The sequence below is a fragment of the Homo sapiens genome, chromosome 3 (assembly GCF_000001405.40).
Source record: "Homo sapiens chromosome 3, GRCh38.p14 Primary Assembly".
In the NCBI taxonomy this organism is placed as follows: Eukaryota; Metazoa; Chordata; class Mammalia; order Primates; family Hominidae; genus Homo; species Homo sapiens.
The window spans coordinates 194,401,358-194,414,935 of NC_000003.12; the positions used below are offsets into that span (position 1 = coordinate 194,401,358).

At 38.1% G+C, this 13,578-nt stretch overlaps 1 protein-coding gene across 22 annotated transcripts in view; it reads right to left on the reverse strand.

Annotated features, from left to right (window-relative positions):
* Nucleotides 1–1,319: 1,319 nt before the first annotated feature.
* ATP13A3 (ATPase 13A3) overlaps nt 1,320–13,578 on the reverse strand; it is a 91,658-nt gene continuing 79,399 nt past the window's right edge. For 13 of the 22 annotated variants that reach the window (NR_164667.1, XM_047448909.1, XM_047448904.1 and 10 more), the window contains 3 exons: nt 12,402–12,482; nt 10,842–10,931; nt 1,320–4,759 (listed from right to left, as the gene is read on the reverse strand). Coding sequence is in view for 20 of the 22 variants with exons in the window: in XM_047448909.1 (XP_047304865.1) it covers nt 4,562–4,759; nt 10,842–10,931; nt 12,402–12,482 (369 nt within the window). In the remaining 2 variants the exon portion in view is untranslated. Of the gene's footprint in view, nt 4,760–7,185; nt 7,933–10,841; nt 10,932–12,401; nt 12,483–13,578 lie in introns of those variants that run through there. The other 9 variants (XM_047448912.1, XM_047448913.1, XM_047448916.1 and 6 more) reach the window with 2 other exon arrangements.

Consider the following 13,578-nt stretch of genomic DNA (forward strand, 5'->3'; position numbering starts at 1 on the left):
GGCTGGGTTGACTGAAATTACCTTCAAAGTCACGCAGCCCTGGACCACAGGGAAGAGCCACTGCCTCTGCCAGGTATCGCGGGAGGTCTTTCAGTTCCGATCAAGGAATGCAACTCCAGAGCCCTGAACTGCTACACTGGTGACCTGGTAAGTCCGTCATGCATAGGCACATCGAGTGAAAGCCTCCCCGCCCCCTTGCCCATGAAATTGCCAGGGAGCCAACATGACAGACTGGGAAGGCGAGCTGTGAAACAGAGTAAGATGCCGATGGCTCAAATTCCTGTGGCCCTTCTTTAGCCTATTTCCCCAGGAAAACCTCCAGTCAGAATGGCCTCTACATTTTGTCCCTTAGGAAGACACTTTGATTGTCCAGGAAGGGAAAAGTAGGTATGGCAGTTGCAGAGTGGGGGAACACTCTTAGTCCATCCACTGAGCAAGTTGATGAGGTAATGAGAAGTATTTGGAGCAAGGAAGTTGACAGCTCCAGTGCTTCCAAGTCTTAAGATTCTGTATCCATTACCAGGTCAGAAGTCTGCTGTAAAACAGTTACCTGGCTTAAGGGGCTTGGCTATTCAAAAGCAGGTCTGTGCCTGGGTGAGATAAGCCTTTTTCCTCTGAGGGAGACTCAGTGGGCCGGGCACAGCAGGGAGCAACCACACCCCAACTTGGACCACGGACAGTCTCACTCAAGCCCCTAGGACTCCCTGTCCCTTGGCAGTGATACAGCGGAAGGAGAGACATGCAGAACTGTGCCCACACCAGCAGGCTGTGGGGACAGGATCACACATGCCGCACAAACCATAGCGACTGTTAAGAACTTGAGCTAAAGGCAGGCAGGCCCTCACCCCCCGAATTCATCACACCACAGCCAGCCACATATTCCCTAGCAGGGGCTCCGTGTCTCCCGGAGCTGAGCTCCATGGAAACAACTCCCACCCACACACAAAGGTCCTGTCTTCTCTGGGATTTTTACAACCATTTTCTCTCTCCATGGTATTAGCTTTTGGTTTGATTCTCCCAACTATTAATAGATTATAAGTCCCTACTCTTCTATTTCATTTCACCATTGCCCTCAGACCTCCTCGCATTTAACATTTGGCTCTACACTGCATCCGACTGTGGGGTTTCCCCAGGATGCTCACACACATGGCATGATATGCAGAATGTTGTTCTTATTTCCTTCAAAATCCAGTTTTTTTTAAAAAAAAAAAAGAAGGAAATGGGGAAGTATTATTAGGCAGGAAAATAAATCCACAAAGGGCAGTATTCATGTCACTAAAAAGCAAACAAATGAATAAAGACACAGAAAAAAAGTGTTATTTCATTCATTAAAATTTTTATTTTGAATAGCTTCAATCAAAAAAGGTTTCATAAGATTATTTACAATGCTGAATGTACAATTATGAATGTATGCCTTTTTGACAAGAGGGTACCATTCTTGAGCAGCAATACAATTTTAAAAATATAAAGATGCAGTATCATTTCTGATATAAAGTTACTTAAAAAAATCCAAGGTCTTAGGGAATTCACAAATCATAACTAGAAGTAACTTTTATTAATTTAATGTACACATAATTACCAAATTTTAATACATTAAAAATGTGTAAATGCCCACAGACTGTACAAAAATTAACACCCCATTTTGTTAAAAGTTCCCAACCACCTCCCACCATAAATATACAAAAACCTATTTTTAGATATGTCAAAATTGCATGCATGAATATTTTCTAAAGCTTGAATTTTGCTCTTCACTGGATAATGTTATCTATAGCTGTTTCTGTAACAGACTACATAAACATTGATATATTATTTACCATGCCTTTGAAACTGTGCAGGACTTTCATAAACATGGGGAACAAAATAAATAGAGTAAAAACTGCAACAGTTTTGTTTAGATGCAAGTGCAATTGGGAAAGCTTTCGAATTTCAGGATTATAAAACTACTATAAAAGTATTTATTCTGTTGTTGGCTTAGCCACTTGTATTCAAGCATTATTTGCAGCATTGCTTTACAGCAGTTGGTGCTAGAAGATACAAAACATATAGTTACCACTATTTATACTTGAGGGAGAAAAAAAACTTTAAACAACCCTGAGGGAGACACACATTAAAAATCTTGTTATTTATTTAAAAAGTTAAAAAGTTACATATCATTATTTAACAATTACTTTCCCAGACATTTCTGTCCTTTAAGTATGTGCATAAATAAAATTTAAATCAGCAATATTCATCTTAATACATCAAAATAATATATGTACAGATTTTAAAATTTAGGTCTGTATAAACTCAAATAATTTAATGTGAAATTCAGAATCAAAATTACTATGTAATGGTAACCTACGAGAGAAGACTCAGTCTATCTATGGCACTGAGTAGAACCCACACCTGGCTTCACAGGCATTCTTCAAATAACATTCTCAACGTGAATAACCCACCTTGTCTATATTCAAATCTAACTTCCTACAAATGCTTTTCCAGCCACCTAAACACCTCATTCCTTTGAAAACAATATGGACAGAAGAGATATAAAACCCTTACTAACTCTAAATGTTAAAAAAGTGGGGGGGGGGTGTCAAAAATAGCTCTTTATGATCATGCTCTTAAAGATGTTAAATACAATCGGATAATTGAATTTTTAAGCTGCTACTTAGCAATTACTTTCATTATATGCTTCAGTACTTAAACCAAAGAATAAAATGCACAATTGTGGAAATCACTGAAGAATAACACGAGCATATTTGAAATTAATATGGAAATTATAAAATGATCCAGAGAATAAGTAACTATAGAAAATAGTGCTAATTCACAGCTCAAGAGGTCTAAGATGCATAGCTTCATAGAATCATTCATGGAACAACTGTTATCATCTAATGTGTATTAATAGCATATTATACATTTGATGGAAAACTTCGATTATATTTTTGCAGGAATCATCAGTGGCAATAGCAGTAACAGTGATCCTGAGTGTAATTTCTATTTTTCTATAGTTACCAAACATCATCCAGGTCTTTGCAGCATAAAGAGTGAGAACCATTTGGTCCTAAAATTCTAGGTAAAATTTGGTAAATTTGTAAATATATGTTGGGAAAAGAATGATCAGCTAGAAGTAGAAAGCACGAGCAAGCATGTTACTGGCTCTGGAAGAACAGAGAACAATGTCACACTGTTTTCATAGTTTAGCGTCCATTTTATAGCACGATCAGTTTTCTGTGTTGTGGTAACTGTGGGCGTTGCCAGACTGCTGGATCCACCTATAAAAGGTGTTTTTTAAAAGTTACCTTAATTTTGGCAAGAATTTAAATGTTAATCAGGCCAAACAGAAAGGTGAAAAATGTTTCTCCACATCTCTTTTGGCTCAATGAATGTCAATTTTTTAACTTTATTTCCTCAATTTTTTTTCTCCCAGAAATTTCCGCATCAAATATGCTCATTTGTAACGATCCAATTCAAAATAGACATGTTCTGACCTCTGGCGCCACCTAATGGCATAAAACAAACTCATCAAATTCATATTGCTTTGAAAAAACGGCAGCCATTCAAATCCAGTATTTTTTAAGCCTCATTATTGATAAGACAGAGACATACATCAAACCTCAAAAAATTTTATGAGGTAAAATTCTAACTTAAAAAAAACTATTATCCTATGTCTTTAGGTAATTGAAAACATAGAAGAAAATTTTAAAAAACCATTTAAAATAACACAAAGCCTGACAGAAACAAATTTGAAGAAACGTTAAAAGATGAATCTACATCTACTGCCGAAAGAAATGAATCTTATTTCCTAGTGAAAAAGGTTCTACAACATTTAACAGAAGCAAATTAGACTGCCAACACCACACATAGCACAGGAGCCATTTAAGAGCTTTGAGAGGCGTCTCAAGAAGGCAGTGAAGCACCTTGCTGATTAGAAAAATAAAACCCAGGCAGTTTGTACAGAAAATATAAAACCAGAAATGGAGATTACCTGAGTTGTTCTATAAGCAACACCATAAACACTCATTCCTAACTCTAGACCATCATAGGGAATTGGCATATGTTTATACAGAATTCTTTGGAAGAAACATTGGAATCAAATGAAAACAGGCTTTCAGTATATTTTCACTGGAGGCTAATTAACACTCATCTTCTTTTTATCAATCACAAACTTACAGCCTGTATATAAACACAGACTTTTCTAACAAGAGGGTTGTGAGCATAAATGTGAAGAGGTAAACTAGTCTCAAAAACTAATGTTGAAAAACCTACCAAACACCAAACTTCTCCTGTACCCAATATAAAGAATATCACTGAAAGTAACAATCAAGAAAATTCTGGAAATGTATGTAATATTTGGGTTGCTGAATGAAGATATAGGACTTTATGGATTGATTGTTAATTTAACTGTTAGGACGATATATTTTTCTGTTTTTATTTTAAGGAAGAGCAAAGCTGTCAAATAAGCTACTATATCAGAAGGGACATAAACTGAACTAGTGCCATTCTGACACACAGGATCAGAAACTCCTAAAATCACATATTCCTGAATACTGCTATCAGCAATACCACTGAGACTGATTCACTGCTATGTTATGGTGATGATTTGACATGATCCATTCTCCTTAACTAAAGCTTTAGCTTCTGTGGTTGTCTGAGGTTTTGGTGGCCATTCTGGATCAACCAAGAGCTCCTGCGCCAGATACATGTACTTTGCCTTTGGTGTCTTCTTTCTACAGCCCAGGGCCCAGGGTAAGCAGCATTTTCCCCACCGATCCACTGACTCCTAAGAAAATAAGAAAAAAACAAAACAAAACACCCCAGTTGATTAAAGGCTTGTCGTTTTAAACAGGTTTGTTAAAGCACACATTAGCAGAGAAAAATAAGAGGAAATGACTTCTGAGCACAACGAATGGGGGAAAAAAAAATCCATGTTAAAAAAAGGCAGCTTTGGCCGGGCGTGGTGGCTCATGTCCGAAATCCCAGCATCTTGGGAGGTCGAGGTGGGAGGACTGCTTGAGCCCAGGAGTTCGAGACCAGCCTGGGCAACACAACGAAATGTGTGTTCTTTTGTTTTATTTTGTAAGGGCAGCTTTCAATTATTTAGGAACTGATTATTCTTTAGATTATATTTTTTTTGGGGGGATAATCAATATGATTGACTTCATTTAGTTTTATATACCTATACTCTTGTGTACTAATACCTTTTAAATAACTTGCAGATATGGATTCTTTACCACAGAATATCTAATGTATTAAGAACTTTAAGCCATTCAGAAAGAGAAAACATTTTTAATATTTAATTTGAAAATCTTCACATTCTGTCCCAAACTATCTTTTGGTACTATTGCTCCTGGCAACTTAGCCGCATGATCATTTTTGGAAGAAAGCTGTGTACAAGTATCCTTGTTACTGTTAATATCATCTCTCAAAACATGAAGTAAATATCGTTTGGTCAAAATTAGGGCTTCAATCATGTTTAATGTCAATTACGTCTTTTAAAACCTCATCCTTACTAATATAAAAAACAATACTGTTTTATAATGATGGTTTCCGTCGGTGCTCCACGACTGGAAAGGGGTATAAAACAAGTACTATTGCTTAGTATTATTTCATTGCAAAAAGCTCTGCTGTCACTGAAATCCTTCTGATCAATCCTGATGTTTTTAGTGAATTTGGCCTTAGATAAATGATCCTTGGAGAACAAGAAAGCAGAGTCCCTGGTTAATGCATAGAAATGTAAACTCAATAGAGGGCTGAAAAGGGCCCTCAGAATTTGTCTCAATTGAAATTTGAAATAAATATAAATGACTACACCAGGACTCGTAGTAGTTATATTTACTTCTAAAGAACAGCCACTTCGTAATGATTTTGGCTGTTGCTTCTCCAAAATGAAATTTAAATTCCAGGTCATTTTGTTTTGCCAATCAACATATAAACCAGGCTACAACTAGCTCTAAATGCAGTAATCTCACAAGGTAGAGTAGAACATAACTGAGCTACATATTCTAATGTTACCCAAAATGCCTCATGATTTAAAAAGGCAAGTTAGCTATAGATGTATTTTGAAACATGTTTCTAAATTGGCCAATGGAGAAGAGCAAAAATACTTTAAAATTAAAGCTCTTAAAGCTTTTTCATATTAACTTGGTAGCTCTTTCTCATCCAGTTGAAACAACCATCAGGAACCTACCACTCTCTCCCTCTCCTCCCTGGCCCCGCTGAGAGCACGGTAAACGTGACTCACCGCTCTCAATGTTAAAGGTCTGCTAGCTTAAGCCTGTCAACAAAACACAATCAGCTGCACTGCTACCAAGAATTTAAAGGCAAAAAAGGTGGACAAAAGTAAGCTACGTGGCATTCTGGGGTGGGGACGGGGAAAGTCTGAAGATTACTCGCCTAGTAGCCTTTTTACTGTCATAACTAAAGAGAGTTATATCAGCATCACCTTAAAAAAAAAGTCCACAGGAAAATATTTAGCATTAAGGTACAGAAGTCACTATGTATAGGATTCTTCAAGTGATCCAAAATAACAGATAATGCCTTTCCAGTATAGGCACACAACAAACGTAATATTTCATCTGAGATGACAGTTTACTACTTGGATCTTACTTTTCTCCCAAGGTGTCATTTGTCAATCTAATTGTGGGAAAAAAACCACTGTTCCTAAATCAATTCGAAAGCTGTCACCTTTTTTTTTTTTTTTTTGAGACGGAGTCTTGCTCTGTCGCCAGGCTGGAGTGCAGTGGCGTGATCTAAGCTCACTGCAACCACTGTCTCCCGGGTTCAAGCGATTCTCCTGCCTCAGCCTCCCAAGTAGCTGGGACTACAGGCACGCGCCACCACGCCCGGCTAATTTTTTGTATTTTAGTAGAGACGGGGTTTCACCACGTTGGCCAAGATGGTCTCGATCTCCTGACCCCGTGATCCATCCACCTCAGCCTCCCAAAGTGCTGGTGGGATTACAGGCATAAGCCGCCGCACCTGGCCAAAAGCTGTCACTTTTAAGTAGCACTGTTAGATTACCACAGGAAATAAACTAATGTTGACTGCTGACTTTTTTTAAAAAAGCAGAAACATAATAGGACTTGTCTGTCCAAAGAGTCTGCCAGGTTGAACAGCAATGCGTACGTAGCAAGCTGAGTTAAGGAAAGCCAAACACACACATATCTCAATTCACTGTTCCCTACTTGTGGAAAGTAAGTCAACCAATAAAATTAAAATTAATTTATTTGCAAATAGAACAATAACTGAATAGGATTCTTTTTATGCATTGAAAAATATCCTCACAACCCTATTACAAACAGTGTACACGTGTCACAATTTTTAAAAAGTCATGAGGAACACTAAGGATCCCCCTACTGTACCATAATTGGAAACATTTTGTTCCTGTACCCCTACCTCCCCCAAGTATCATACACAAAAAGTACACTACATGCAAGCATAGGTTTGTTAGTTTACAAACACAAACATACCACACACATTCTCAAACACAATATAATTCACTGGAAGAGAAAATAAAAGGTGCTACAGGCATGCTGGAATGAGAAATCAGCCAGCGGGGAGATGATGATGATGAAGGGAGAAAGGCAAGTACTGTGTAACACAAAGGCCATGAAACAGGGCATCGGGGGCACAGAATGAGCATGTGGGTCTCTCCAAAACCTCTACGGCACAAGTCCCTAAAGCAGAACACAGTAGCTATAGCAACCGGATCTTTCAGTTTGTTTCTGAAAGGAATGCTTCAGTGACCAAATTCATCCCCTCAGAGAAGGAAAGAGGCTACCATGCATAGTTTAGCAGAGAAACTAAAAAGAACTTTCAAAAATGTCAAGTTTACGCTTAGCAATGTCTTTTAGGAAATGTTTTCATGGGCAGTATATAAAACAGAATGCCATGCTTGAAGGAAAAATGTTATAATGGCGCTGTGGTTTTCATAAGTCTTCTTCCATACCAATCCTGAATATAAAACAAACACAGAAAATCAGAATTAACATTCTGTCTACATAAGCTCAAATAATATTCTAAGTGGCATAAAGACTACCACTACACCATACAAACTACTTTTTTGGATTTTTCACCAAGGAAGAAAACATAAATTGGGCACAAATCCTCAGGCATAATCAAATTACAGGTAGTATGATTCTAGTTCCACTACTAAGTGCCCTCAGTTTACCAGACACAAGCTAGGCACAAATGCTTCTAAAGAGAAGATACGACACAGATCTCCTGAAACAGGGTTGCTTTATAGAAAACCACAGATGATGGGGGTCTCCACCGAAGATTTCCATTCAGTAGGTCAAGGGTAGAATTCAAAGCATTTCTGATGAATAATCTTGCTTGATAATCACTGACGTAAAGAATTTTTTTTTTTTTTTTTTTTTTTTTTTGGTCAGAGAGTAAGTATTAACACCCGGGGCTGCCAACTGTGACAACCAAAAATGCCTCCAGACAATGCCAAATGTCCCCTGGGGAAATCACCTCCGATTGAGAACCACGGCCTTATGGTAATATGATTAACTAAAGACTGGCTCTTGAAGAGCCACAAACATTAACAGTGAAGCAACACTACACAGAAGTAGCAGAGAATGAAAGTATGTCACTTTGTGCTGGGAGGTTATAAGAACTCTCCTTCCTAAAGCCAGTAAGTTTTTAAGTCTTTAAAAAATGCACCTTAATCATGACCACAGAAACGGAAGACTTAAATTCTTGTCTATTTGATGATTCTCAGAATCAGTTGACACACAGGGTGTGCTGGGGCCCACCTGCTCTGGACCACTCTCTACCTTCACTCTCCCATGAACACTTCAGAGGTAGAAACACAAACTTCTAAAAATTAGAAGGGCAGGCCAAGCGTGGTGGCTCACGCCTGTAATCCCAGCACTTTGGGAGGCCGAGGCAGGCAGATGGCTTGAACCCAGGAGTTTGAGACCAGCCCGGGCAACATGGCAAAACCTCCTCTCTGCAAAAAAAAAAAAAAAAAAAAAAAAAAAAAAAAAAACTGCTGGGCCTGGGATGGCATGCACCTGTAGTTCCATCTACCCAGCAACATGGTGAAACCCTATCTCTACAAAACAAACAAACAAAAGTTGCCGGGCATGGTGGCATGCACCTCTAATGCCAGCTACCCGGGAGGCTGAGGTGGGAGGATCATCTGAGCCTGAGGAGCTCGAGGCTACAGTGAGCCATGATCACGCCACTGCACTCCAGCCTGGGTGACAGAGTGAGACCCTGGTCTCACAAAAAGAGAAGGGCAGATATTTCCTAATAATTTTTTAGAAAACAGAGACCAAAAAAAGAATTTTCTATCATTTAATTTTGGTTGAAAAGCAAGGAGAGTCTTCCAATCCAAATATTTTTAAGGGGCCTTATAATGCCTACTTTCAGCTAAACCGGGGTTACTCCCCTTCAAAACATGCAATTTCTTGTTCAGATCAATAGTCAGAGATCTCTTGGGAGAATATGAAAAATCGGAATGTTTTCCTAGGCCTAGGAATACAATACGAATATTTCACATGAGAGTTGATTACATAAGCCAAAGATAACCTTCTGAAGTAATGCAGTGAGGTAACTATATATATGGGGGTGGGAGGGTTGGGGTGTTGGGGTGTGTGTGTGTGTGTGTGTGTGTGTGTGTGTGTATACACAGATGAGATTTTGCTAAACGACTTGAGCCCCTTGTACAACCCTAGTCATACGCACTACTAGGGACAACTGGTATTACACTGCTTTCAGGAAAAAAAAAAACTGAGGCTGACTGCATTCCATCATTATTCACCATAAAGCATTAGAAAACGGAAATGGTACTCTGCAGGCCCTCTTAGAAAGCAAGCCTGTGGCATTACACCAGGACATCAGGCCTGCTGGATGACCAAAATAAAGCTCAGGAAGGTACCACTTAGGTAAAAGTTGGCTAAAACTAAGTGGGTAACCCAACTCAAAAATGCCAGGGAGTCCTCTTCAACTCCACCAGCTTCCTGTGGCTCAAGGCTGAGTGAAAGACTCAGAGCTCCTATCTGTAAAGCACATCACCCATCTCTAAAGAAAAATGGGTAAGGCAATGAAGGGGTGAGATTTTATCAAATTCTCTATGCCTAAAAAGCTGCCTCAAAGAGCTCTGATTCATAGGATGGGTTTAAAAAATAAGTCCAATCTGTATCTGTATCAAGAGCTATACTTTAACATCCTAACACTAGGAAATGGGTTTTATTCCTCTGTTTCTCTTCTCTCTTTACCACAGAACTTGCAATACCTTTCAAATGACAGGCTGTTTAACAGACCCAAAAAGTCAAATGTCCTAAACCACGGTTTGTATGAAAAAAGGACATCATCTTCTGAATACTAAGGTATACAACGCTGGAGAAAGCCAAAAAGCCACTCCAAATTAAGGGACAGTAACTGACAAGAAATCAGAAATAATTCTTCAGAATTTGGGCCTTTGGACTCTGATCCAAGAAGAAACAGTTTTCATTGCAAACTTTGTTTATATAAATCTCATTTAGCTTCTAAGGGGACTCATGAAAAACAAAAACATAAAATTTATAGTAGATTGAAATGGAAAAATTAACTCTCACCTTTGAGGACAAGACTTTTACACAAATAGAAGATCAGGATTGGAATGGAAAGGAGACTTATGAAATTTCTGATCTTGAAAAGCCTCTAACAAATGTTTGCCATGAATTTTCTAGGACTTCTTATAAGAAATGAAATGCCAAGCACAGAGAAAAAGGCTGAAGGAACACGTAATAGAACAAGAACACGCTAGAGAATAACACATAACAGAACAAGAACACGCTAGAGAATACAGAGTACACAAGCAGAGAGCCTAGAGAGGCAGCAAGAATTGACAGGAAGTGCTGAGTTCCAACCTGCGGTGGCTGTGTGGTGCTGAACCGATACTCTCCTTGTTTGTCTCGGTTGAACACAACTTTCCAAAGGACCATGTCAAGGAAGAAGTTCTGAGAGATATTCCAGTGAGTTAAGAATTAATAATGACTAAGTCATTTTTTATTAATGTGCACCTTTTTAAAAAATCACACATGCTGCATAATTGATGAAAAGGATATTTTGATTTTCATATATGGAATTTCAGTTAATACTGCCAAATGATCAAGAATGATAGGACTTTTGTAACAAATACAAATCATCATAAAATTCTTGATAAAATGAGACTTCTAAATTTTCCATGAAATATGGCTTTTGTATAAATAGGTCTTTCCCATATTAAAATGATGCTTATGTAATTTGAAGTCTTTCTTCACAATGGTTATTTTCATTGAATATCTAGTACTAATTCTATATCCCTATCTATAGATATATAATTTCATCAGCATCCAACACAAACCATTCTTTAGGTAGTAAGAATAAGTAACATTTCTGTGAAAAGATGAACTGATACTGTAGAAAAAGAAACATTTTAAGAATATAGTATCTTACATGTGCTTCCTAGCACCCATAAAATAGAAAAAAAATCACATTTCAATGGGCAACTTCAAAAGGTCAGTACCATAATATCCATGCTGCCCATCATATCCCAAATTTAAATACCAAGTCATCTTTTAGGGGGTAATTGAAATTAAGTGTAATTTCTAAGACCAGAGCTATTATCACTAAAATATATGCATATATATTTCTCAAAAAAATTACCTTTATTTTGATCCAAAAGCCTGTGCTATGAAACTCTTAACTTAAAAATCACAACTGTATCTCTCTCTTCCATTTTTATAGTTACTGTAAGAGTCAATTATGATAGTAGTTCAGAGAGCAGACAAAAGCTTATTAATAAGCCACCAATGAGAACTTGCTACCTCCTTTTAGAGACGCTAACCTAAAGGCAATCCTAACGGGAGGGTAACTACACAATATACAGTGAATCAAAGGGTACTTAAGACCTCTAGAGGTCACTCAAAAGCAAATACCAAGGAGGATGTTCCAGTAATCAATGCTGAAATTAGGTAAGTCCATAACGATTATTATTTTATACTTTCATTAAACTCTCTTGCTATTAATATTCACTGTGTTTCCTGGAGAATGGCCCTCCCCCTTCCCCCCTCCCTTAAATGGGAGATTTTACTGTACATCACAAAACACAGGTGGCACATGCCAACTCTGATTTCACAATCACTGGTTCATCAGTTTCATGGGCCACCGAGGCCCCAAACTTCTCTCCTTTCTACTCGTCATTAATTTTTATTATCACATTGCTTATTTTCTCCTATCTGTGTGAGTGCAACTAAGTCACCTCCCTTAATATGACCACTATCAATTCATGGAAAAGTTCACAAGAGAAGGCTAAATGAATTTGCCTGAGATGAAACTGAGACTCTGTGGCTTTCCATTATATTACCTGCCCTCTTCTCCCATTTACCATTAAATCACCCAAGAATTCCAAAGCAACATGGTAGCCATTTGACTATGGAAGTGCTTACCTCCACTGTGATAGACACAAAGGCATTGACAAGAACAATGATGAGCATAGTTACACGCCACTGATATGGTACACACACTATCTGTAATGCAAAAACATTTTAAAGTTAAAATTGTTGTATGTAGTCAATATTATAGCACTGTATCATAATTTCTAAATTTATTGAATTCCTATGATGTACCAAACACCTTCATATACATTATCTACTTAATCCTCAACAATGCCCCGCGGTATATATTATATTCCCTTTCAGATGATAAAACTCAAAGTTTAAGTAACTCAAGGTTAAAGAAAATATTAAGTGACTGAGGTTAGAGTCAAATCCTGTTCACTCAGATTCAAAAGCCCATGCTCTACTAGATCATGAATGTCTAACAGTTTCTATTTTCAAAATAAAAACCCATCTTTAAAGAATGAGGTACCAGCCAGGCACAGTGGCTCATGCCTGTGATCCCAACATCTTGGGAGGCAGAGGTGGGCAGATCACTTGAGGCTAGGAGTTTGAGCCTAGCCTGGGCAACATGGCAAAATCTCGTCTCTACTAAAAATACAAAAATTAGCCAGGCGAGGTGGTGCATGCCTATAATCCCAGCTACTCAAAAGGCTGAGCCACGAGAATCACTTGAGCCTGGGAAGTGGAGGCTGCAGTGAGCCGAGATCCTGCCACTGTACTCCAGCGTGGGTGACAGAAGAACCTGCCTTAAAAAAAAAAAAAAAGAGGTACCAATCTAATAACGAAGTACTGGTCAAAACTCAATTATAAAGACAACTTCATAAAAAAAGATGAAGTTAAGAAAAAACAATCTAAGTGTTCACTTTAAAATCTGATTAATTTCTAAGGCCTAAAAAATGGGATAGTTGTAAAGACAGAAAGGTTTATAATAAGAAAACTGAAAGAATCTAACAAATGGCTGGCTACGGAAAGAGGAAGAAAAGGCACAGATAAATAGACACACACGCATGTACACAAGCATGCACACTTCTGACTTGAATAAATAGTGGTACCAAGAAACAGAGAAGAAAAAGGGTTGAAGGAGAACATGATGAGCTTAGTTCTTAAAATGTTTAAATTGAGGGATCTGTTGGGTGGAACACCCAAGTAACAGTCAATATATCAGTGTATTTGCAGGTCTAAAGCTTAGTAGTGAGGTAGGCTCAGGGTATAAAGGTTGGGAGCC